Source organism: Homo sapiens, chromosome 18, assembly GCF_000001405.40.
Source record: "Homo sapiens chromosome 18, GRCh38.p14 Primary Assembly".
Classification (NCBI taxonomy): domain Eukaryota; kingdom Metazoa; phylum Chordata; class Mammalia; order Primates; family Hominidae; genus Homo; species Homo sapiens.
The window spans coordinates 49,572,277-49,599,514 of record NC_000018.10 but is presented as its reverse complement, the minus strand read 5'-3'; the positions used below and the strand labels follow the sequence as shown (position 1 = coordinate 49,599,514).

Here is a 27,238-nt window from a genome sequence, read left to right as displayed (position 1 = left end):
TGATAAAGAACTTAAGTCCAGAACTTATATCCATTACATAAAGAATGTCCAACACTCAATAAGAAAGCAAACAACCTCCCTCAAAATGGACAAAAGATTTGAACTGATACTTCACCAAAGAAAATATGTCAATGGCAAATAAATACATTAAAATATGCTCAGCATCATTAGTCATTAGGTAAATGCAAGTTAAAACACAATGAGGTACCATGATATATCTGTTAGCATGACTAAAATTGAAAAGACCGACGATATCAAATGTTGGAGAGAATATAGGACAACTGGAATTCTCATACATTGTTGGTGGCAATGTAATATGGTACAACCACTTTGGAAAACAGTTTGGCAGTTTATTTAAAAGTTAAACATATACATTCCATATGATCCAGCTATCCTACTCCCAAAAGAAATGAAAGTTCATGTCCATACAAGGATTCATATGCAAATGTTCATAGTAGCATTACTCTAATAACTCAAAACTGGAAACAACTTAAAGTTCATCAACAAGTAAACGGATAAACAAAATGTTATTTATCTATACAGTGGAATACTGCTTAGCAATAAAATGGAACAGATGACTGATCCATGCAAAGACGTGGATGAATCTCAAAATAATTATGCTGAGTACAAGAAGGCAGACACAAAAGAGAACATACTGTAGATACACTCCACTTATACAAAATTCTAGAAAATGCAACTAATCTACAAGGACAAAAAGCAGATCAGGGACAACCTGGGGAGAGGGCAGTGGGAAGAATTACAAAGGGGCACAAGAAAACTTCTGGTGGTGGTATGTTCACAATCTCGATGTGGTAATGCTTTCAGTTTCATGATGATTTCCTGTACCAAAATGTCAAATTATATGATTTACCTGTGTGCAGTTTATTGTGTGCCTGTTATAAGTCAATAAAAAGCTGTGAGAAGAAGAAGGAGAAGAGGAGAAGGAGAGGAGAAGGAGAAAGAAGCAGGGAGAAGGGGAAGGAAAGAGGAAGTCTACCTTGAAGGAGAGAGAGGCAGCATGGCCAGGCCTGATGGCTCATGCCTCTAATCCCAGCACTTTGGGAGGCCAAGTTGGGTGGATTGCTTGAGCCCAGGAGTTTGAGACCAACCTGAGCAACATGGCAAAACCCCATCTCTACAAAAAATTCAAAATGTAGCCAGGCATAGTGGAGTACACCTGTAGTCCCAGCTATTTGGGAGGCTGAAGTGGGAGGACTGCTTGAGCCCAGGAGGTCGAGGCTGCAGTGAGCAGTGATGGCGCCACCACACTCCAGCCTGGGCCACACAGTGATACCGTGTCTCCAAAAAAAATTAAAAAAGAGAGAGAGAGAGACAGCAGCCAGGGAAACAAACCCCAGGGTTGTGAAGCCACATTTCCTAGGACCTCTTTTTGGATGATATATATTCTTCAAAAAGAATCCTATATGGAATTTGGGGCAGCCTAAGCAGAAGGAAGAAGCTCTGTGTATCTAATAGAGGATACAGGATGAATAGTAAGACTGACATCTCTGGCAGGAAAATGAAAATGAATTATCTCCCTCACAATAAATAGTTGAGGCTTTGACTTCAAAACAAGCCCACTGAAGTTGCCTTGGGATAATAACCAGGGCAGAAGTAAAGATAATGTCATTTTAGCTTCTCCATTCCAGTGAGATAACCCTGCCTCTGTTCCTGGCCTCAGCCCTTTCTCATATGGCATCTGTCCATTGCCTCTGGCCATGAGCAATTCTTGTGAGTCCAAAACCATTTGCCTCTGGTGAAGGTATTAAACCACATAGCGTGCAGACTCGTCTGGGCTGAGATAATTAGCAAATGGCCCAGATAACTCTGCTCCCTGCTGCCCCAGCTGGCCTCTGGGCCTGAGCCCTCACCTGCTGAGACCTGTCCTAGCTTCCAGAGTCTTCTTGCAGCCCTTTCCCTCTGCACACACACACGCACCGGTATGATTTAAGGAAAGTCAAGGTTAAATGGTATGGATAACCACAAAGGTTTAGGAAAACAAATGACTTGAGCCCTGATTTATATTTGTTTGATTCTTATTCCTTTTATTTACATATTAGTCTTTTTTAGGAGAGGCCACCCCCAATCTATAGATAACCCACAGTTACAAAAGAGGGCACCGACACCTCTCTTCACCTCTCTATGGCAACCGTTGCTGCCATGGAAACCACTGGGCATACACGGGGAGGGACAAATACTGGTGTTTACTGAAAGGCTCTGTAAGTTCAGGAGGGAAGAAATGAAATCAACTGTGAAAATCAGGAATATTTTAGGGGCCTCGATTAGAAGAAAGATTCCCAAGCAGATCTAGCCTATGTGTAAGGTGGCTGCCCTGCTCCACTGTTTCTCTATCCCAACAGGAACCTTTCCTTTTGTTTCTTGGTTTTCGTTTGTTTGTTTGTTTCTGAGTTTGCTTGCTAGGGAGAGGAAAATTTCCTTTTGATTTGACCTACTGCCTCCATGCAAATCAAAGATTAATTTGGATTAACAAACGTCTTCTTTAAACAATGCAGACAACTCTGGACCAGGTAAAGGTCTACTAGCCATTGACAATGTGCATGACTTCAGTTCAGTTACAAGCTCCCAACAGATCCCTTGTGGAAGTCAGCTACACAGAATACCAGAGAGCTGGGGCTAAGAGAGTAGGAAGTCAAATGCATTTGGAAAATGGAGCACTTGAGGGATATGAGGGGGGGAAATACTTGGAGCTACATGACAATATGTCACAGGGGCCAGGAAAGGGGGCACCAGGGGACCAGGGCGGACAGAAAAGAAATGTGGATCTAATGGTCAGCAACAGAGGAACGGCTGACAAAAGGGTAATTGTCCACCTGCTGGATGGACATTTCTGTGGCCTTTTTTTTTTTTTTTTTTTTTTTGAGATAGAGATTTGCTCTTGTTGCCCAGGCTGGAGTGTAGTGCCGTGATCTAGGCTCACTGCAACTTCTGCCTTCTGGGTTCAAGTGATTTTCCTACCTCAGCCTCCCAAGTAGCTGGGATTACAGGTGCCCACCATCACACCTGGCTAACTTTTTGTATTTTTAGTAGAGACAGGGTTTCACCACATTGGCCAGGCTGGTCTCAAACTCCTGACCTCAGGTGATCCACCCACCTCGGCCTCCCAAAGTGCTGGGATTACAGGTGTGAGCCACCGCACCTGGCCCTAAGGAGTACATTTTATTAGCATTTTAGTTTATTTAATATTCATTGTTCTATTTAAATTTTCTTATTCTAATTGTGACGTTTTACATTTTTTCAGTTTTTATACAGGTTTTGAATTTATATTTCATAATATCTATTAGCATGATGACTTTCACATTTATACCTTTTATTCAGATGGAATTCATTTTTGTTTTGGGGGGGTTGATGGTTTTAACTTCTACTTTAGTTTCAGGGGTACGTATGCAGGTTTGTTATGTAGTTAAATGGTGTGTCACAGGAGTTTGCTGTACAGATTATTTCGTCACTCAGGTAATAAGCATAGTACCCAATAGGTATTTTGGAATTCATCTTTGTTGCGTGTTAAAATAGGAATCTAATTTTGTTTCTCTTTGTCAAATGAGCCTACTTTCTCATCATCCATCCATTCCTTTCCCAAAGACTAATAGGCCCCTTTTATCATACATAAAATTTCCGCATATATGTGGAAAGGATTTTATTTTATTCTATTCTATTTTATTTTATTTTGAGATGGAGTCTCACTCAGTTGCCTAGGCTGGAGTGCAGTGGCGTGATCTCAGCTCACTGCAAACTCCATCTCCCAGGTTCGAGCGATTCTTCTGCCTCAGCCTCCGGCGTAGCTGGGACTACAGGCACGTGCCACCACGCCCAGCTAATTTTTGTATTTTTAGCAGAGACGTGGTTTCACCATATTGGCCAGGCTGGTCTCGCACTCCTGACCTCGTGATCCTCCCATCTCAGCCTCCCAAAGTGCTGAGATTACAGGGGTGAGCCACCGTGCCCACCCAGGATTTTATTTTTGTCTCACACTGTCCTCTTATCAATTCAAATGTTTACAAAACACAAATACTTTCTTTTTTACCATGTACCTTTAACATTCACAACAACCCTGAGCAGTATTGTCTCTGTTTCTTAAATGAGCAGATAGAGACTCAGAAAGGCTGTATTTAGCCTAAAACTCACATAATGCTGGATGACACACCAAGAATTCTGATTCCAAACTAACTGCTCTTTTCCCAGATTACCTCCTGCCTGTTTAAGCACCTAGTTTCTTATATCTAATTTCATCTATTTATTTAAATATTCATTGAATACCCATGATGTTCCAGACACTATTCTAGCTTCTAAGATAACGGCAGAAAACAAGCCAGATAAAAATCTGTGCCATCAGAGAGCTTACATGGCAGAGGGCTCAGGGTAGCTCTGAACACAGAGGTGACACCTGAGAAATACCATATTTGATGACAAAGACTGTTCTAGTACCTACTTTGTATCCATCCTTCCAAGGGGTCTGGGGCTTCAGCTTGTTTGGAGAGTCAAAGGAAGTCCTGTGGAAGTTCCCCTGACTCTAACTAGTAACTGAACCCCCAAGCCAAAGAAGGCACTTGCAGTCATCCAGGCTATGACTCTTCCTTTGGGAAATTTCAACAATTTTCTTTACTATGCCAGAGACACCATTTTCTGCTTTCCTCTGACATCTGAACCAAGTTAAGAACTTATCTCTTATTGTCTAACCCAACTCCCTACAGCCATTATCAAGCCTGGTTTCAGAATGTCCTGGTAGAGATGGACAGTGGAGTTTCCACCATCACTAAAGCCCTTTATAAAGAGCTTCCTTGTCATTTAGAAATGTTTTCACACTTAAGACCAGAAATAAAGTCAAACTGATGTAATGCATTATACTTCATAGTCATAGATCAATTTAAGATTACTAAAAATTGACTACAGGATTTAATCATTTAAAGGGTACTCTGGTCTATCTCGCTGGCTTTAGCAGAGAAAAAACTAATTCCTGATAAACGGATGGCAAGATCCAATTTCCCTTTTAATAAATAGTAATTGGTAGGGGGAAAGGGGAAATAGGGACGGAATTGTTAAAAGATACAAAATTACAGCTAGTGGCTGGGCCCGGTGGCTCACACCGGTAATCCCGACAGTTTGGAAGGCTGAGGTAGGTGGATCACTTGAGGTCAGGAGTTCAAGACCAGCCTGGCCAACATGGTGAAACCTTGTCTCTACTAAAAATACAAAAATTAGCTGGGTGTGGTGGTGCATGCCTGTAATCCCAGCTACTTGGGAGGCTGAGGCAGGAGAATCACTTGAACCCAGGAGGCGGAGGTTGCAGTGGGCCAAGATCATGCCCCTGCACTCCAGCCTGGGCTACAGAGCAAGACTCCATCTCAAAAAAAAACAAAAAAACAAAAAACACCAAACGAAACAAACAAGATTACAGCTAGACAGGAGGAATAAATTCTAGTGTCCTATACCACTGAAGGGTAAAACTAGAGTTAATAAAATATGGTTTCAAGTAACTAGAAGGAGGATATTGAATGTTCCCAACACAAAGAAATGATACATGTTTGAAAGGATGGGTATGCTAATTATTCCAACATGATCACTATACCTTGTATGTATCGAAACATCACTATTTTCCCCACAAATATGTACAATTATTATATGTCAATTTTAAATAAATAGTAATTGGATCTTCAGCAGGGCCCATGGGCACCCTAAATAAAGACTGTATTTCCCAGCCTGTCATGTGACCATGGATTTATTTCTGGCCAATAGAATGTAAGCAACTTCTCAGTCATGTCTTTAAGAGGAGACTGTTCATCCCTTCCCTTTTCTGGCTTTCCATTGGCTGGTAGGGGACCCCTGGGCTGTGGGGATGCGAGGAATACCCCATGAATGGCACAGTGAAAAACTAAGAACCTGCAGCCCTCTTGGCCTGTAGAATAGAACCTTACTACCAGCTGGGACTTTAACCAATAGAGAAATCAGCTTCCCTCTGGTCTAAGTCACTGATATCTAGTTCCAATTCAACCAAACCTAATAATCTCACTAATGCTCCCCAGTGTCCAGCCATGCTCCCTGTTCTTCCTAACATCCACCTTCAGGCCTTCAAGCTGCTACAATTGAAATAATTTTTCTTCTCGTCTTCAGTGAAATGATGTTCTTGTTCTGGTTCTTTAGTGAATTGCTGTCCACTTCTGCTAACGATGAGTGTCAAATAAAGAATATGCCTTATATTAGAGTAACTTTTTGTCAGACTCTAGGTTGGGGCAGCTATATTCTTTCAAACTTTAAGAATTGGCCAGGCACGGTGGCTCACACCTATAATCTCAGAACTTTCAGAGGCTGAGGCAGGCGGATCACTTGAGGCCAGGAGTTCGAACCCAGCCTGACCAGCCTGGCCAACATGGCGAAACCCCATCTCTACTAAAAATACAAAAATTAGCCAGACATGGTGACGCATCTCTGTAATCCCAGCTACTCAGAAGGCTGAGGTGGGAGGACCACCTGAGCCCAGGAGGCAGAGGTTGTAGTGAGCCAAGATTGCCACTGCACTCCAGCCTGGGTGACAGAGAGAGGCTCTGTCTCAAAAAAAAAAAAAAAAAAAAAAAAAATTGAGTTGTCAGACCATTAAGAACTTTATAATTTTTTATTATTTTACTATTTAAAAATTTTAATCTTGAAATTGGTTAACCTTAGGTAAACACTAACCATATTTTTTTATATACATTATATACACGAGAAATAAATAGTCTTCCAAATAGCATTTTTTAAAAAGCATCATTATATACAATTAAGGCTTCAAGCCAGGTGTATAAATATACAACTCACTGAGAATTCAATTTGCAAAGCTTCCATTAGTAAAAACAGAAGTCAGAAGTGACCAGGATGTACAGCCAATAATATGGGTTGAGCAACCCTAATCCAAAAATCCAAAATCCGAAATGCTCCAAAATCCAAAACTTTTTGAGCACCAACAAGACAAAAAATGGGAAAACCCCTCACATAAGTTACCACAAACCATGCTTCATGTACACAACTATTTAAAATATCGTATAAAATTACCCTCAGGCTATGTGGATAAGGTGTAACTGACACATCAATGAATTTTGTGTTTAGGCTCGGGTCCTATTCCCAAAATATCTCATTATGTATATGCAAACATTCCAAAATCTGAAAATAATCTAAAATTTGAAACACTTCTGGTTCCAAGCATTTTGGATAAGGGATACTCAACCTGTACAAGCTTCGCTTTGGCTAGAAAGCAATCACAGAAACAAGAGAAGCACACAATTGGCTTGAGAACATATCTTGAAATAAGACTCAACTGGTTATGTCTTCAGAAGTTTAACAGTGATACAACTTTGGCACGATACAGATTAAAACAATGTCCTTAGAAAACCTAAGTACAAAGAAAATCATTCTTCCTCTCCTGCTTGGTGTCACACTTCCTCCCGAATCTCAGCCATAAAAAGTCCAACCGTTGGCACAGATGTTCTCCTGGTTATACATTAATAAAAGGGCTTAGGATTTTATGGATGGCTCTATATAAAAAAAAAAGTCCTTGTTTGTCTCACGTCTGGGGCATATTGGTGGGAACTGGCTGCAAAAGTCTTCATGGAGTTTCAGAGATAGACTTTGCCTCCAGGAAATCTGAGTCCTCTCCCTGGCTGCACCACTAACTAGTATATAAGTCTAGGCATGTGGCTGAACCTCACTAAGCCTCAGTTTTGTAAAATAGGGATAATAATAGTTGCCCTTCTCCCCCTACTCTAATTAGGCAATGCATACACAAATCTTTTGAAAAGTGTAAGTGTCTCAGATATTGTGTGTATTAATTCAAATCAAGATCTAGAATTGGTGGCTTTTCCAAGAAGTTCAACAAGAAAAGGCACTGGTATTAAAGTAAAATATTTCAAAGAGGAAAAAAAGCACTGTATTAAATCTTAGAACCAGCTCTGTCTGGCAGGTGCCGGTTTCTGTGTACACAGATGTGTATTACATATGTCATAACTTCTATCTCTCTAAACAGAAGAGATTTGCTCCAAAGCAGTTATATCTGGCAACCGGCCATCATTCTGGCCCCAGCATGAATGATACTCTGCTTGCTATTCTGCTAGTGATCAAACACGTCACTCATAGGGGAGGTGGCACATAATAACTAAGAAGGTGGCACATAATAACTAAGAAGAAATAGAAACCACTTAAAGCCTCAGGGTCCCTAATGCTTATATCCTATAGCCTCCCCCAGGCCCCAGGTGCCTTTCCCCATGCATATACACATACACCATCCAAACAGAAAGAGGGTCTAGAAATCCCAACTCCACTGGGTTCCAAATGGAGAGGCTCAGTAATATGTCCATTACCACATTCTAATTAATTTTAAGTGTTCAATAGACATTTGCTCAATTAAAAAATGAACAGAAAAATAGGAAAGCCAATGATGTGTGCTTCAGAGAGTGAGCTGGGGAGCAGGACGGAATGGCTAAGACGTAAGCAGTATGGTCAGTGCAACCCATGAGAACCCCAACAGCTAGGGCCCGAGCAAGATACCAGGCCTGCCATCCTGACATGAGTCAGCTCCTGTCGGAAGGACTTCTCACTGAGGCTCAAAGCAGGCTGAGCAGCTGACAGCCTTCTACACAGGGCCTCTTCGGAGCCAGCGTTCCTCGTCAGGCAGAGTACAGGCTCGCCCAGCAACTGAGAAACCAATCCAGTGTGCACGAGAGGCCCCAGGCACCCAGCTGCTTACACACAAATCTGGACTTGGTGCTCTGGAGGTGTGGACAGAGGTTTGGAGTTAGAGCTATTCAAGAGAGGCAGCAAGAGCTATAGCAGCGCAGTCCCCTCCCGCGAGGAGTCCCAGCCATCACAGGAGACCAGTTGTTCCCAGTGCTCCAGGGTCAAGGCTGAGAAGAATCCTTCCATTGGGTGGGTCCTCAGCAGTAACTTTCCTCCATGGGCTTGGATAGCAGGAAGTCTTGCTGCCTTGCTGGCAAGACTTGCCCGGGCACCCTCAGGGAAGCTCCACAGTGGGACTGAAAGAAACCGTGTGAGAGTGGCATTTGTTAGCTCACACACCAGCAAACGCGCAAACCTGTATTCAGGGTGTGCTCTTTTGACCTTAAGGCCAAGCTTTCTGACACCCCTATGGGACTATTTTACATGTATTCCTTTCAGAATAAATGGACAAGGTCCCGAGTGCTGCCTTCTCTCCCTAACCTGACAAGCCATAGATGCACTTTGAGAAACACCACACTGCAGCACCCTCTGGACCCTGAGTTGAGTACATCACAGTTCTTGCATTTACATATTATCCACCCACAACATACACACACACACACACACACACACACACACACACAATCATGGACACACAAGTGTGGGGAGAACTATCAAAGTGTCCTCTTTGCCTTGATCTAGAAATACAAGAGAGACACTGTATTGGCAGAAAGGGGGCAAGACTGAGAGTTAGGAGACCTGGATTCTAGTCTCAGCTATGTGAACACACCACTGAACCTCTCTGAATCTCAGGCTCCTTATCAGTGAACATGTGAACAGCATCCATGTCAGGAGGGAGGATGCTAAACATGTTACATATGATGCTATGACTTCCTAGTGTTCATTTATTACTTGGACTCCTATTGTTTTTGAGGGAATGGAAAAGGACAGCTTGTTTTCTAAAATTAGTAGTGAGAGGGTGAATCATAGAGTTCTCAGGTATATGAATTCCAAAGCGGGAAAGAAGAATAAATATCTTAGCCTTTATCATAAGAATAGCCATCCTGACTGGGCACAGTGGCTCATGCCTGCAAACCCAGCACTGGGAGGCCGAGGCAGGCAGATCACTTGAGCTCAGGAGATAGAGACCAGCCTGGGCAACATGGTGAAACCTCATCTCTACAAAAATTAGCCAGGCATAGTGGCACATTCCTGTAATCCAAGCTACTCAGGAGGCTGAGGTAGGAAGATCATCTGAGCCCAGGGAGGTCGAGGCTGCAATGAGCTGTGATCATGCCACTGTACTCCAGCCTGGGTGACAGAGCAAGACCCTGTCTCAATAAAAAAAGAATAGCCTTCCTTAGTCATCTTTCCTGGGTGTGTCCAATCTACATGGTTGTCTGGAGGATCAATGAAGTTAATATATGTGGAAACACTTTGAAATGTACACATTTAAATACATAAAGATTTACAATCGTTATAGTAGTAGAAAATCATACGAGCCTACGCTAGACTGAGTCCCTTAATTAGATGGCACGAGTCCTGTGATGATGGTGCTTGTGGTTGTGTTGAGCTCCTAACCAGGAGACAGAGCAGCTGGGATGCAGCGCAGCCTTGGGGGTGGCAAATGGTTAATCACAGGGGACCCCGGAGCACGGGCACAGCTGCCTGATAATTGATACCCAGACAGACGCGAGGTGATTCATCTGAGCACTTGGAGCCTCGGTGCTCAACAACACAGGCTTTGGGGTAGACCGACCTGCTTCAACTCCCTCTGCCATTGCTGGGGGCCTTGGGAGAGAAACTTCATCTCCCTGAGCCTCGGTTCCTCATCTGTACACAGGGCTAACAACCCCTGCCTAGTGGGTTGATGACAAACATCATTATGTAAGTCCCTGGGTGCAGGCTGGGCCCAAGCTAAGTGCTAGGTGTACCACAGCAGTATTATTATCTAGTACCCTTGTTAGAGCAAAGGGTGGCGACAGGCATGGTGTGAGGAGACAGTCTCCTTCCTCCTTAGCAGGTGTTTTGGCTTAGAGGGCGTGTGGCTGTTCCCCAGGATGAGCCCACTGCCTCACACCACAAGATGGGCCTTCCTCACGTCTGAAATAACGGATTGCAGCATGGGACAAGGGGATAGTGAAGCATGACAACCCCTCTGTCTCACTTAGCTCCACATACATGGGCATTTCTGTTTCCCAAAAAGGGGAAGGATTGGGGTTGGGCACCGTGGCTCAAACCTGTAATGCCAGCACTTTTGGAGGCCAAGGTGGGCAGATCACTTGAGATCAAGAGTTTGAGACCAACTTGGCCAACATGGTAACTTGGCCAACATGGCGAAAACCCATCTCAACTAAAAATACAAAAATTAGCCAGGCGTGGTAGCAGGCACTTGTAATCCCAGCTACTCGGAAGGTTGAGGAAGGAGAATCACTTGGACCCGGGAGGCGGAGGTTGTAGTAAGCCAAGATCACTCCACTGCACTCCAGCCTGAGCGATAGAGTGAGACTTTGTCTCAAAAAAAAAAAAAAAAAAGTGTGTGGGAGAATTAGGCCCACACTTACCTGCATTCTAGAAAACCTAAGAAAGGAGAACATGCTTTGTGCTTCTCTTTATCTCCCACCCCATTCCCAAACCTGACCTGGTGGCCAGAAGGAAGCTAGGAGCCCTTAGGCACGTTCCCACAGCTCTAGTTATTACAGAGAAGATGTCAATCAAAGATGGCAGGGGCCAGGCACAGTGGCTCACACCTGTAATCCCAGCACTCTGGGAGGCCAAGGCAGGCGGATCACTTGAGCCATGGAGTTCAAGACCAGACTGGGCAACATGGTGAAACCCCGTCTCTGCAAAAAAATACACAAATTAGCTCAGCGTGGTGGCAAGTGCCTGTGGTCCCAGCTATACAGGAGGCAAAGGCGGAAGGATCACCCAAGCCTGGGGAGGTCGAGGCTGCAGTGAGCCAGGATCATGCCACTGCGCTCCAGCCTGGGTAACAGAGTAAGACCATGTCTCAAAGGAAAAAAAAAAAGATACTTCAAAGATGGCAGGAATGGGCACCAACCTGGGGACTTAGTTACAGAGAAGATCTCATGCCAGTAGGGTCATGTACAATGAACCCCTACAGGTTGAGGCAGGACAAAGAGCAGAAGAGACATTAACACTTCCAACATCCTATCTACAGTATTTCACTTGCTTCTTTATCTCCTAGCAGAAGGTCAGCTTCTTTTTTTTTTTTTTTTTTTTTTTTTTGAGACGGAGTCTCACTCTGTCACCCAGGCTGGAGTGCAGTGGTGCAATCTCAGCTCACTGCAAGCTCTTCCTCCCAGGTTCATACCATTCTCCTGCCTCAGCCTCCCGAGTAGCTGGGACTACAGGCACCCGTCACCATGCCCGTCTAATTTTTTATATTTTTAGAGAGATGAGGTTTCACTGTGTTAGCCAGGATTGTGTCGATCTCCTGACCTCGTGATCCGCCTGCCTCAGCCTCCCAAAGTGCTGGGATTACAGGCGTGAGCCTCCATGCCTGGCCCTTTCTTTCTTTTTGAGACAGAGCTTCATTCTTGTCACCTAGGCTGGAGTGCAACATTGCGGTCTCAGCTCACTGCAGCCTCCACCTCTCAGGTTCAAGTGATTTTCCTGCCTCAACCTCCCAAGTAGCTGGGATTACAGGCACACACCACCATGCCCGGCATTCTTTTTTTTTTTTTTTTTAGTAGAGATGGGGTTTCACTATGTTAGCCAGGCTGGTCTCAAACTCCTGACCTCAGGTGATCTGCCTGCCTTGGCCTCCCAAAGTGCTGGGATTACAGGCTTGAGCCACCACGCCCGGCCCAACTTCTTAAAGGAAGAGATTTTTATCTGTTTTGTTCATGCTATGTCCCTGGCACCCAGATCCATCCCCAGCACATGCTAGGAGATCATCATGTCAACGTGTCCTGGGTGGAACGTGTGAGAAAGTCCTGGTTACCTGGTTTCGTTTTTCATCCTCCAGCCATCCCGACACTTGCGAAACCAGAGCTCCCGGCCTGGGGATATGCTGGTGTTCTCAGGGTCTTCTGTACAAAATGTCAGTCTAGGAGGGAAAAGAAACCACTGATGTAGGCAGAACTTTAGGGGGAATCCAGCTGTGCTTTCTAGATTCAAGGCAGATGGGTGAGGAGGCAGGGGTGAAATTTTCATGCCATGCCCCGACTCAAAAGCCTTCAGAATTCCCCATCACTACTGCAGGGACTCTAACCTGTGTCTCACTTTGAGGCTTCCATGATTCGGCCTCATGCAGCCTCTGCCAGACCTCTGCCACCTGCTTCCTTCTGTCTATCCAAAAGGCCACCTGCCTCTCAAGGCCATAGCCTCTCAGAAGCCTTCCTGACTGCCTGAGCCCTCATTAACCTAACCCTCCCTTGGCCTTTAAACTGGTTACAAAGTATGTCCTTATATAAATATTGCTTTTGTTAGTGTTGCTACTTCTTGCAACATGGAGTTTTAAAAAATGTTTTATTTTAAAACATTATGCCCTATGTGAAACTGCTTGCTGATTTCTGTGGTTGACTTCTCCGTAAACTTGAACGGAGTGATTCAAAGTACCTCTAGTCCAGTGCTCTGTAAATATCCATTGACAAGAGCAACTGCAACTCAGCTGCAAGTCAAAACCAAAGATTCAGCAAATGGACAGCCAAGACCACAAGAAAGAATCAGGGCCTAATAACCATTTCCATGTAACTTATGGCTGCCCCACGCAGCCTCAGGGGCGTGTGATTAGCGTGACCACGTAATCCTTAAGGGTGTGGGGCACCTGACCCTGGAGCTGAGGCAGGACAAAAGCCCCATTCAGAAGAGCTTAAGAACCTTTCCCAGGAAGCCCTAAGGACCTTAGGACCTATATGTTTATACACATATAAAAACATGACCTATCTCACGCACAATCAGGAAATGCAAATTCAAACAACAGCAGGGGGCCCATTCACACCTAACAAAATGACAAGAATGTCCCACCAGACCTGGGTGAAAAGGAGGGAAAAGGGAACTCTTCATCCATAGTTAAGATGGAAAATTAGTTCAACCACTTTGGAGACAGATTTAACAATATCTGTTCAAGCTGGAGAATGCATATACTACAACCCAGCAATTCCACTTTTTAGAACACATGCTGAGAAACAGCCCTTACACACATGTGCACAAGGAAAATGCAGAGGATGTTCATCTCAGCACCATTTGTAACTACAAAAAAGCAACAACTCAACTATTCAGCAGAACAATGGCAAAACTATTTGTGCAATGGTGATTTACATACAGGAGTTAAACAAGAATAGATTAGATCTTTATGTTTTGGATAAATTTCACAAACAATATTAGAATGAAAAAATCAAATTGTAAAATATTATGTCCACTCATGTAAAATTCAGAAGCATCCAAAATTCTATACATTGTTTATGTACACAGACAGAAGTACTAAGGCGGCTGGGCATGGTGGCTCACACCTGTAATCTCAGCACTTTGGGAGGCTGAGGCAGGCAGATCACCTGAGATCAGGAGTCTGAAACCAGCCTGGCCAACATGGCGAAACCCCGTCTGTAATAAAAATACAAAAATTAGCTGGGCATGGTGGCAACACACCTGTAATCCCAGTTACTCAGAAGGCTGAGTCAGGAGAATCACTTGAATCCGGGAGGCGGAGTTTGCAGTGAGCCAAGATTGTGCCACTGCACTCCAGCCTGGATGAAAGAGAGAGACTCAGTCTCAAAAAAAACAGTAAGTACAAAGTGTATAAAAACATGATGGAAGGAAACACACTAACATTTGTTAACATTGAAATATTAGTTATATTTGGTTTGAAAGAAGAAGGGTAGAGCAGAGAAGGACACAGGGGCTTCAACTGTATCTATAATGTTTTACTTTTTAAAAATCTGATATCTAAACCCAAATGGAAAACTATTTACATTTGTGAGTCTCAATGGTGATTTAATAGGTGTTTATTTTCTTTGAAATATTTTATTTATAAATGATCATCTTTCTGCTCTCACATCCATAGGTATAGTTTGTACCTGCAAGGGCCCAGAGAAGTAAAAACATACACAGTCTAGACCACAGGCCAGCACCCCCAGTTCACAGGTTTCTAGACTAGAATCATTCAGCTGAGGGCTCCAAGCCTCCACTTCACTTCCCTCTGCTGCCAAGCTGTGTCATAGATGACGAATGTAAACCAGACATGGCAGGAATTATAATGGAGAAAATGCCAGAGGAGGGACAAAGAGGGAGGCAGCTGCCTCCTCCCATGCCAAGGCTGGCAGTGACCTCTGTAGAGGTCAGCTGAAGGACTTGGTTAAGGAAACTCTCCCTTCTTGACAAAGGTCTCGCAGGCTTCCCTGGCTTCTGTTTAGAAAAAAGCCTGCTCAGGGAGTCCAGGCACGGTGTTAGGAGCTGATAGAAAGATCTGGATCTTTTATGCTAGGCTTGGGGTTAAAAGAAATGGGAAACTGCCAGCTAGTGTGGCACAGAGGATTCTCTGTTACTTGCAGTTAGGACCACAGCCCCACATCCTTGACTTAGAACCTCTGAAGGAGAGAGAATAATGCTCTGAAAATCAGATGCTGGGGAAAACCAGTTCCTCCCACAGACCTCATCCATGGGGGCTCTCTGGAAGTGATACTCCAGTCTGCTTTGCTCAGAAGCAAGCAAAGCCTTTTGTCTGCATGGACCCCACAGTAAACACATCGACAAGGCAGCACTCCTAAAAAGCCCAGTCCAGGAGAAGTCCCCCTCCTCCAGGCTGACACAAGGCCTGGCAAACAGAGCCAGGGCTGAATTACTGCCTCCACTGGCCCACCCGTCTCCCTGAGGGCCCATGTTCAGGGCATGAGATGCGTAACAGTTTTGATAGAAGCCTTGATCTGGAAGTCACTTGTCCTTGCAAAGGTGTTTGAAGTTTTACCTGCATGCTGGAGGGAAGGATTGAGGGTAGATGCAGCAAAGGAAAGGAAATGTCACAGGCACAGCCTTCTGTTCCCCACCTACACCAGGCAGAAGAAGGAGCAGGAGGCACTTACTTCCGCTGGGTTTCCCCAGACTTCACCCGGATGCGCCTGATATTCAGCTCCCGTCCGGGGTTGCGGGGTTGAGACAGGTAGCTGCGAAACTCCTTCCACAGGTTGTACCAAGACTGAGAGGCCCCCTCCCAGGTGAGCTGGATCTTCAAGAGGTCTCCCAAGTCCTCCTCGGTGTAGACCAGGAAGGTGTTGGTGGCATTCTGCTCGATCCGCTCCACTCTACAAGTGGGAGAGAAGCTGATCTCACTCCCCTAACAGCTGGAAAACTGCCACACTGTGTGGGGTGACACAGTGGCAGTAACAACCCCACACAGACAGGAGAGAGACAGTGTGAGTGCTTTCCCCACCTCTATCCCTCTACTTCCTATCAACAGGACCAAGATGGAAGCTCAGGTGTACTCCATATGGGCCAAACTAACTTTGCCCTCAGCACCCCAGCTTCTTATCAAAACGATTCCTGGGCACCCCCTCCACCCCACTTATGCTACTTCCTGAAAAGACAGAACCAAGAAAGAACACAATAAGAAAACACAAAGAAGTCACATCCCCACTCAAGTGCGCTGTTCCGCTCAGCCTTAGAACCTCTGAAGGAAAGAGTTAATGATGCTCTGAAAATCAGATGCTGGGGAAAACCAGCTCCCCCCACAGACCTCATCCATCCCACAGACAGGCATCTGTCTCCCCCAAACTCCTAGCCTCTTCCTGTCTGTCCCTCTCATTTGGCTTGGCCTCATCTGCCTTGCCCTACCTGTGTGTAAGTGTGCACGTGCGTGTACAAACCTGGTCTCCCAGCTAGACTGTGAGCCCTGAGAAGTGAGCTACTTTGATGATGTTTCATCACAATCCCAACATTACTTGGCATGATGCTTTGTCCCTGGTGGATACTCAACAAACATATACAGATCGCTATGCACCCCTCCCATAGCCACATCATTAGGAGAGGTCCAGGGATGACGTTTACGAAGTTACAGATTGCCTGAAGCATCGTCAGGCATTGCCTGAAATGAAACAGCAGTTTCTGCCCAGCTGATCCAGCTGCTGACCCAGCAGCTTCTCATGATGCCGATTCATCCCAGGAACTTTTCTCCCCGAAACGCTGAGTCAGGGCTTGGTAGAGAAGGTGCAGTGGGAGAGAGGACTGCAGAGGCCAGCTAGACCACCTGGCTCCTCCCTGAGCAGTCGGACTGCACTCTCCTGCGTGCTGTACTCGTTCACACGCTCCCTTGTGCTCTCTCATTCTCAAACCAACCTGTTCTCTGTCCCGAACCCAGCAAGGGAAACGGATGACTTACATTTCCAGTGGCAGAGTCTGGGAATCTGCATTAGTGCCATAAAGGGTGACGTAAAAGGTGGGCTCAATTTCTCCCATGTTCTTGTAACTGAAGACATGGATTTTCATCTGATAATGGTAAACTGCAGTGACAGCAGAACAAAGATGCTTGTAACCCTTGCTTGTCATCACAGGAGACCCCTGACCCAAACTGAGTCACCAGCACAGAGATTTTAGGGCTGGTGTTCTTTTGGTTGAGCCCAGCCTGCAGCCCCCATCTGCTCTTGTTCTGTCCAATGCCATAAGAGGCCACTGCAGTATGGAAGGAGCCCTGCACTTGGGAGTTAGATCTTTTGAGGATTTTCACTTAGCTACTTTCTAACTACGTGCCCCTGGATTAAGGACCAAGGTATTAACCTCTCTGAGCCTCAACTTCCTCATATGTAAAATAATACCCACAGTACCCAGAAAACCTTGTGATTTTACAGCACATTATAAAAATGTAACATGTCATTTTGGTCCCCTGTTCATCTGCCTCAGGTTTCTTGTGATGATCAAATGAGAAAACAAATATGAAACAGCTTTGAAAGTTAAATGCAAGATAGAAATTTAAGATATTGATATTGTGATCATGGACTGATAGCCACATCACAAAAGGGGTCCACACTGTTTATTTTGTAAAGATTCCCTTTCCTAGGACATGCACAGTGTAATCTGATTTGCAACGATTTGATTGGATTGTGCTGGCCACTTCTCCTGGGCTAGGATGTGCCCTGCTCTGCAGCATGGTATTAAGAAGGAGGTATTAAGGGCCTTCCTCAGGGACACTCCAGGGACTGAAGGTTACCTCTGAAAGGCATGCCTGCCCGGGTTTTTAGGTACATTTTGCTGTTCCTCTTGTTCCTCATTTTCTTGGCATTGTAGCCAATGCTATTACAACGGTTCTTGCGGCAGCTCAGACAGATCCCCTTTTTGAAGCGATTGGAGTCAGTGCACTGGAAGGCAAAACTCGGCTTGTCCTGATTCACCAGAGAGTCAACAAAGAGGTGGACGGCTCGCTCATGCTCACATTTTACCACCTCTGTGATTGCTGGGGGTGGGAGAGATAAAAAGCATGCAGGATGAGCCCTTCTTGATGATTAGACACTCAAATAATAAATACTGTACTCCTCAACAGTGATAGCTGTTTATTGTTGCTGTTAGTATTTTCATGTAATTCTTTTGCTTGTTTATTTGTGTTGAGACAAGGTCTCACTCTTGCCCAGGTTAGAGTGCAGTGGGACAATCACGACCCCCCGCTCACAGCAGCCTCAACTTCCGAGATTCAGGTGATCCTCTCACCTCAGCCTCCCCAGTATCTGGGACGACAGGCACATGACCACCACACCTGGCTAATTTTTGTAGTTTTTGTAGATACAGGGTTTCACCACATTGCCCAGGCTGGTCTTGAACTCCTGGGTTCAAGCAATCTTCCCACCTTCGCCTCCTAAAGTGCTGGGATTACAGATGTGAGCCGCTGCACCCGACCTGTGTAATGCTTCATTAATGTCCAGCAAGGTGCTAGGTTCCCATTAAGATGTAGAGGAATTTAAGGCCATTCATGCTGCCTAACTGTTCACTCTCTTGATGGGAAGACAGCACGAATACACACAAAGCAATAAAGAGCAAGAACGCCCATATAATAAGTGCTAAGTAGGGTGATGCAGACCAGCTGTGCAGCAGGAGTCACTACCTCCTAATAGGGCTATACAGCCACAGAATGCTGCAAATGGATCAGATCCTAAACATCATCTCACGCAGGGCTCAGCAAAATATGGCTTGCAGGTTTGCTACCTCTTTTTTTTTTCTTTGCTTTGTTTTGTTTTTGTTTTATAGACAGTGTCTCATTATGTTGCCTGGGCTGGCCTCAAACTCCTGGGCTCAAGTGATCCTCACCTGGGCCCAAGCAGTCCTCCTGCCTCAGCCTCCCAAATAGGTGGGACTACAGGTGCACCACACCATGCCTGCTGGCCACCTGTTTTTGTAAATAAAGTTTTATTGGAACAGTCACCCTCATTTGTTTATATATTGTCATGGCTACTTTCATGCTACATCAGCAGAGTTGGAACAGAGGCAATACGGCCCACAAAACCTAAAACATTTACTAGCTGATGCTTTAAGAAGATGTTTGACAACCTCATTCTAGTCTAATCCCTTCAATTAAAGATTATGACCCAAAGGTCCATAGGGGTGAGGTAATCTGCTCAGGGTCATAGAGACAGTTGGTTACAAAGTTAGGCATACAATTTGGATTTTCTGGCCCAAATAATTTCTGGGATCTTACAAAAAATTTGGCATAACCAACCCCAACCCTGCCTCATTGGCACCAGCAGCCTTAAGAAATGCTATCATCCAGCCGGGCAGTGGCTCACACCTGTAATCCCAGCACTTTGGGAGGCCAAGGTGGGTGGATCACCTGAGGACAGGAGTTTGAGACCAGCCTGGCCAAAATGGAGAAACTCCACCTCTACTAAAAATACAAAAAATTAACTGTACATGGTGGTAAGCACCTGTAGTCCCTGCTACTTGGGAGGCTGAAGCAGGAGAATCACTTGAACCTGGAAGTGGAGGTTGCGGTGAGCAGAGATCACACCATTGCACTCCAGCCTGGGGAACAAGAGTGAAACTCCATCAAAAGTAAAGTAAAGAAAAGAAAAGAAAAGAAAAGAAAAGAAAAGAAAAGAAAAGAAAAGAAAAGAAAGGAAAGGAAAGGAAAGGAAAGAAAGGCCATCATCCTATATTCTGAGGAGGGAGTAAAATCCCCTTGCATGGACCTCCAAACCCTGCAGAGCTACTTGGATTAAACCGGGAGAGGGAAAGACTGAGCATCAGGGCAGGACATGTGGAGGGCACAGCATCAGAGTGGAGAGAGCTGCCTGGGGTCAAGACAGGAAATGCTGTCAGCAGCCAAGGCAGTAAAAGGATAAGAAACCCCCCCAAAATTGGTCACTGCCCTACACCTCAGTTTTAGCAGCAAATTCAGTTCAGCCCAAATCTGCTGAGAATAAGCTCAAGCATTCAGAAGATAAATTTTGGAGCCAGGTATGGTGGTTTGCGCCTGTAATCTCAGGCTGAGGCAGGAGGATCATTTGTTTCCAACCTGGGAAACATAGTGAGGAAGAAGGAGAAGAAGAAGAAAAATGTTAAGTGAATGGAAAAAACTTAAGTGAAATGGTTTTGCTTCTTTAAAATGTTACCAAAAATTAAAATAGAGTGTATCCGGTGAGCCCTCTCCCTCTCCCTCTCCCTCTCCCTCTCCCTCTCCCTCTCCCTCTCCCTCTCCCTCTCCCTCTCCCTCTCCCTCTCCCTCTCCCTCTCCCTCTCCCTCTCCCTCTCCCTCTCCCTCTCCCTCTCCCTCTCCCTCTCCCTCTCCCTCTCCCTCTCCCTCTCCCTCTCCCTCTCCCTCTCCCTCTCCCTCTCCCTCTCCCTCTCCCTCTCCCTCTCCCTCTCCCTCTCCCTCTCCCCACGGTCTCCCTCTCATGTGGAGCCGAAGCTGGACTGTACTGCTGCCATCTCGGCTCACTGCAACCTCCCTGCCTGATTCTCCTGCCTCAGCCTGCCGAGTGCCTGCGATTGCAGGCACGCGCCACCACGCCTGACTGGTTTTGGTGGAGACGGGGTTTCGCTGTGTTGGCCGGGCCGGTCTCCAGCCCCTAACCGCGAGTGATCCGCCAGCCTTGGCCTCCCGAGGTGCCGGGATTGCAGACGGAGTCTCCTTCACTCAGTGCTCAATGGTGCCCAGGCTGGAGTGCAGTGGCGTGATCTCGGCTCACTACAACCTACACCTCCCAGCCGCCTGCCTTGGCCTCCCAAAGTGCCGAGATTGCAGCCTCTGCCCGGCCGCCACCCCATCTGGGAAGTGAGGAGTGTCTCCGCCTGGCCGCCCATCGTCTGGGATGTGAGGAGCCCCTCTGCCTGGCTGCCCAGTCTGGAAAGTGAGGAGCGTCTCCGCCCGGCCGCCATCCCATCTAGGAAGTGAGGAGCGCCTCTTCCCAGCCGCCATCACATCTAGGAAGTGAGGAGCGTCTCTGCCCGGCCGCCCATCGTCTGAGATGTGGGGAGCGCCTCTGCCCCGCCGCCCCATCTGGGATGTGAGGAGCGCCTCTGCCCGGCCGAGACCCCGTCTGGGAGGTGAGGAGCGTCTCTGCCCGGCTGCCCCGTCTGAGAAGTGAGGAGACCCTCTGCCTGGCAACCACCCCGTCTGAGAAGTGAGGAGCCCCTCCGCCCGGCAGCCGCCCCGTCTGAGAAGTGAGGAGCCTCTCCGCCCGGCAGCCACCCCATCTGGGAGGTGAGGAGCGTCTCCGCCCAGCAGCCACCCCGTCCGGGAGGGAGGTGGGGGGGGGTCAGCCCCCCGCCCGGCCAGCCGCCCCATCCGGGAGGGAGGTGGGGGGCCAGCCCCCCCGCCCGGCCAGCCGTGCCATCCGGGAGGGAGGTGGGGGGGTCAGCCCCCCGCCTGGCCAGCCGTGCCGTCCGGGAGGGAGGTGGGGGGGTCAGCCCCCTGCCCGGCCAGCCGCCCCGTCCAGGAGGTGAGGGGCGCCTCTGCCCGCCCACCCCTACTGGGAAGTGAGGAGCCCCTCAGCCCGGCCAGCCACCCCGTCTGGGAGGGAGATGGGGGGGTCAGCCCCCCCACCCGGCCAGCCGCCCCGTCCGGGAGGGAGGTGGGGGGGTCAGCCCCCCGCCTGGCCAGCCGCCCCATCCGGGAGGGAGGTGGGGGGGTCAGCCCCCCCGCCCGGCCAGCCGTGCCATCCGGGAGGGAGGTTGGGGGGTCAGCCCCCCGCCTGGCCAGCCGTGCCGTCCGGGAGGGAGGTGGGGGGGTCAGCCCCCTGCCCGGCCAGCCGCCCCGTCCGGGAGGTGAGGGGTGCCTCTGCCCGGCCGCCCCTACTGGGAAGTGAGGAGCCCCTCTGCCCGGCCACCACCCCGTCTGGGAGGTGTGCCCAGCAGCTCATTGAGAACGGGCCAGGATGACAATGGCGGCTTTGTGGAATAGAAAGGCGGGAAAGGTGGGGAAAAGATTGAGAAATCGGATGGTTGCCGTGTCTGTGTAGAAAGAAGTAGACATGGGAGACTTTTCATTTTGTTCTGCACTAAGAAAGATTCTTCTGCCTTGGGATCCTGTTGATCTGTGACCTTACCCCCAACCCTGTGCTCTCTGAAACATGTGCTGTGTCCACTCAGGGTTAAATGGATTAAGGGCGGTGCAAGATGTGCTTTGTTAAACAGATGCTTGAAGGCAGCATGCTCGTTAAGAGTCATCACCAATCCCTAATCTCAAGTAATCAGGGACACAAACACTGCGGAAGGCCACAGGGTCCTCTGCCTAGGAAAACCAGAGACCTTTGTTCACTTGTTTATCTGCTGACCTTCCCTCCACTATTGTCCCATGACCCTGCCAAATCCCCCTCTGTGAGAAACACCCAAGAATTATCAATAAAAAAAAAATAAATAAATAAAAAATAAAATAAAATAGAGTGTATCCATGCTATGGAATATTACACAGCCTGTAAAAATAATGTTAGTAAATCTGTGTGCTCTGATATTTAAGAATATCCATAACAGCAAGATGCAGTGGCACATGTCTGTAGTCTCAGCTATTTGGGAGGCTGAGGCAGGGGGATAGCTTGAGCCCAGGAGTTCAAGGCTGTAGTAAGCTGTGAATAGCCACTGCACTCCAGCTTGGGCAACATAGCAAGCTTCTGGCTGGGTGCAGTGGCTCACACCTGTAATCCCAGCACTTTGGGAGGCCGAGGCAGATGGATCACCTGAGGTCAGGAGTTTGAGACCAGCCTGGCTAACATGGTGAAACCCCATCTCTACTAAAAATACAAAAAATTAGCCGGGGATGGCATGGTGGTGGGGGCCTGTAATCCCAGCTACTGGGGCTGAGACAGGAGAATTGCTTGAATCTGGGAGGCAGAAGTTGTAGTGAGCTGAGATCGCACTACTGAACTCCAGCCTGGGCAACAACAGCAAAACTCCGTCTCAAAAAAAAAAAAAAAAAAAAAAAAAAAGCAAGATTCTGTCTTTTAAAAAAAGAAAAGAAAAAGAATATCCATAATATATTATTACAGGAAAAAAAAGAAAGTTGAAAAAAATTAAAATAAAAATAAAGTTGCAGAACAATGTGATTTGGGGGAAAAATATGCATGCAAATAATTTGCAAAGAAAAAAGACTAGAAGGATACACACAAAAGCATTCATACTGGCTACATCTGAAGAGTGGAAGTAGGGGTGGGAGTGGGAGCGCACTTTTGCTTTATTCAAGTCTATAATGCTTGATTTCTTGTTCAACAAATGTGTGTATTCCTTTTGTCATAAAAAGAAATTAATCAGCCGGGTGCGGTGGCTCACACCTGTAATCTCAGCACTTTGGGAGGCCGAGGCAGGTGGATTACTTGAGGTCAAGAGTTTAAAACCAGCCTGGCCAACATGGTGAAAACCCATCTCTACTAAAGATACAAAATTAGCCAGGCATGGTGGCACGTGCCTGTAGTCCCAGCTACTCAGGAGGCTGAGTCAGGAGAATCGCTTGAACCAGGGAGGTGGAGGTTGCAGTGAGCCGAGATTGCACCATTGCACTCTAACCTGGGCAACAAGAGCAAAACTCCCTCTCAAAAAAAAAAAAAAGAAAGAAAAAGAAAAGAAAAGAAATTAATCAATAACAACTGTGACCTTAAAGCGTGAGAAAGCAAAGCAGGAACCACTGGGTTGGTTAGTCTTGGGGAACAATGAGAAATATTAAATACAGCATTGGAGGCCTCTGTGGTGGGAGGTGAGAATAATGAATAAATAGTGCCTGCAGTGCTAAAGGCTCTGGCTGATTTAGAAGGAGATGGAATAAACTGAGTCAAACACAAAGCAGAAAAGAGGGAACTCACTTCCATATGCAATTGATCCCAAGACATCGTTGAGTCCACAGCCTGGCTGGAAGTCACCCCCATTGGGGTAGATGTCAATGTGGCCCACAGGCATCTGAATACCAATGCTCAAGCCGAAGGAACGCGTGTAGGTGTGGAGGACATCCACAAAATCTGCATCGTCCGGAGAGAGCCTCTTGTGGATGTCGGCCCCTTCAAACATGGGCCCGGCAGGATCCAAACCTGCAGCAGAAGGAGGCCCCAAAACAGCTGTGGTGTCAGGTGCACCTGGTCAGTGAGTCCTGATTACAAGTTAAGTCTGAGTGTGCAGAATGAAGATGACTTCTGAGACCAGCTGGGAGAATCAAGACATGGAAAGCATGGAAGAAAATAAGAAACCCATTTCCATATGCAGTTGACCCCAAGACATCATTGCAGAAATTAAATCCTACTGTTATGGAATTTATACTTTCTTCTGAAGCCTTCATGTATCCCGTCACCTCAGCCAAACCCCGTCAACTAGCCACAAGTTTCGCTGCCACACAGCTCCAAGGAACTGCTCCTGTTAAAACTGAAGCAGTTCTAGAAAGAACTCAGACTGCCTGAAACTAAGCCATTTGTCCCATTCATTCTGCCACTGAGCATCTTTCATGTCCTTAATTGTAGCAGAATTTTTACAGAATAACTAAGCTGCCTACATCCTTCTGGAAGGAGAATCCAGTCTCCCCAAACGGAGCTATTTGTATCTGAATTTATTCTTCTTCCTTTAATCAGGCCCAGGGGTGGAATGGTGAGAGAGAAGAGGACACCCAATACACTGAGAATCCATACATCAGGCCTCCAGAATTCCTCTATTTTGCAGCCACCGTGAGAAAACCTTTCCGCCTCCAAACATTTTGTGTTGAGCAGGCAAGCAGCACTGTTGAGAGCACTGGTTCTCATATTTGAAATTGGGAGCTTGTTAAATTTAAATTCCACCATACAGCTACAAAAAAATCTGGAAGGACACACAAGCAACTAGTTACCTGTATGCGTGTGCGTTGGGGGAGAGAGTGGGTAAGGGAAACGGACAGGTAGCAGAGCAGTAAGAGAGACTTTCACCATCTTTTGATTTGAAAACTGCATTAATGTAAAACCATTCCAAAAGAGAACTTGCAAAGTATAAAATGCAGATTCCCAAGTGCCTGAACTCCTAGTGGGTAGATATGAATTATGGCACATAGAAATAGATATTTATTCCCCGGATGATCCTAAAAGTAGGTATTCTGTGGGCCAAATATTGAAAAACTTCCCTGTGTTTCATTATCATTTATAAAATGGAACCTGAATTTATACCTTAATTCAAAGTCCACGTGAGATCTTAAGAGACTGAGTGCCTGTCAGTATTAGCTACTATTACCAAGCCCAAGTGATTATGGGAACCAGATTTATCCCAACCAGAACAGCTCTTTGCCCCACAGACACACAGGAAGGACCTGGAGAAAGTTAAGGGATGAAATGTGCCAGGAAGGAAGGGCCGCTGGAACAGTGGTTCACCACTACAAGTGGCTTTGCCCCCCAGGGGACATCTGGAAATTCCTGGAGACCTTTTTATTGCCCCCATTCTGATGGAGAGAGTTGCTAGCATCTAGCAGGGCCAGGCCAGGAATACAGCTAAACATTCTACAGTGCACAAGTCAATCCCAACACACACACACCCCACACCAAAACCTTACCTGGCCCCAAATGTCAATATTGCCTAGGCTGAGAAAACCTGGCCTCGAAACACCAAGGCTGGGAGGAGATGTGACCAACAAGAGTCCTGAAAGGAGGACATGGTTAACGACCGTGTTCACCAGACCACAGCACATTAGAACCAGGGAGCCTATCAGGAGACTTGAGATGGTAGTTTCAGGATAAACAAGAGGCAGAGCTACCGTCTAGAGTGGACGGTCAACTTGCAGAACTCATTACTCATATGAGAACTGGTAGAGGCTGAAACGCTAAATAGTTTCCAAAAATTTAGATAACTTTTTTTTCTTTTTTTTTTTTTGAGTTGGAATCTTGCTCTGTCACCCAGGCTGGAGTGCAGTGGCACGATCTCGGCTCACTGCAGCCTCCGCCTCCTGGGTTCAAGCGATTCTCCTGCCTCAGCCTCCTGAGTAGCTGGGATTACAGGCATAAGCCACTGCACCCAGCCAAATTTAGATAACTTTATGTGCAACCAAGACAGAAAGGGAGCCCAGGCTGCTTGAGAGTTTATCCCTAGCCCAGGACCCAAAAGAAAGATGGCACAAAAGCAGTGTGCTCCCAGAACAGCCCACGACAACCCATTTCAGAGGCCGCAAGGACCGCAGTACTGACACAGCGGCCTCTCCCTGCCTCTCACCATGTCCCCTGGAGGAAAGAGAAAGAGAGCAACATTCTGCTTTGCAATCAATACAAGAGAGAGGCTCTTTACTTGGTGTGAACAAAGGTCCCCACCAGACGGTCAGTGCCATGGAAACCAGGCTGTGCTGGAGGAATGCAGGCAGCTGATGGGGTTTCACAGGCTGGCTGGCAGGCAAGGCTGGGCCTTCACCTACCCAGCCAGAGCCTGCCTGCCCTGCTCTGACTGTCCCTGACACATATCTGTGGCCCACAGATTCAGGGGTACAGTGGCACATTTAACTTTTTTAACTAGGGATGAATGACAGGGAGAACTGCCTCCTTAAATAAAGAGGAGATAGAGAACCTCCGCCGCTTCTTCCATTCAGTCATAGACTCCTCCAAAGTTGCTTTGTCCAGCAAATGGAGCACACACACATGCACACATGTAAAACTTCCAGGGCTGTGCATTCTGGCCCGGCAGGGCAGGGCCTGCTGTAGTTCAACGGCTACTTTTTTTTTTTTTTTTTTTTTTAAGACAGGGTCTCACTCTGTTGCCCAGGCTGGAGTGCAGTGGCCCAGTCTCGGCTCTCTGCAACCTCCACCTCCTGGGCTCAGGTGATTCTCCCACCTCAGCATCCCGAGTAGCTAGGATTACAGGCATGCACTACCATGCCTGGCTACTTTATCTCTGTCCACAGAAGAGAGGCAGCATGGCACAGCAGTGAGGTGCATGGGATCTGGAATCTGACAGCATGGGTTTGAGTCCCAGCTCTGCTACTTATAGGGCCCAGGATATTGGGCCCTTTACTTAATCACTGAGTCCTAGTTTCCCCCTCCGTAGAATGTTCAGGGTTGCTATGTGGTTCAGAGATAGCATAGAGTAGCTGTCATATATGAGGTGTTTTTTGTTTGTTTGTTTTTTATTTTTTATTTTTTATTTTTGAGACAGAGTCTCACTCTTGTCACCCAGCCTGGAGTGCAGTGGC

At 46.7% G+C, this 27,238-nt stretch overlaps 1 protein-coding gene across 3 annotated transcripts in view; it reads right to left on the bottom strand.

Moving 5' to 3' along the window:
- Positions 1-329: 329 nt before the first annotated feature.
- Positions 330-27,238, bottom strand: part of LIPG (lipase G, endothelial type) — a 37,707-nt gene continuing 10,798 nt past the window's right edge. Inside the window, exons 5-10 of one of the 3 annotated variants that reach the window (NM_006033.4) lie at positions 23,925-24,146; positions 17,858-18,100; positions 17,033-17,153; positions 15,741-15,959; positions 12,665-12,769; positions 330-9,014 (exon numbers count right to left, since the gene is read on the bottom strand). In NM_006033.4, the coding sequence (NP_006024.1) occupies positions 8,993-9,014; positions 12,665-12,769; positions 15,741-15,959; positions 17,033-17,153; positions 17,858-18,100; positions 23,925-24,146 (932 nt within the window). In that variant the 3' untranslated portion in view covers positions 330-8,992. The other 2 variants (NM_001308006.2, XM_047437944.1) reach the window with 2 other exon arrangements.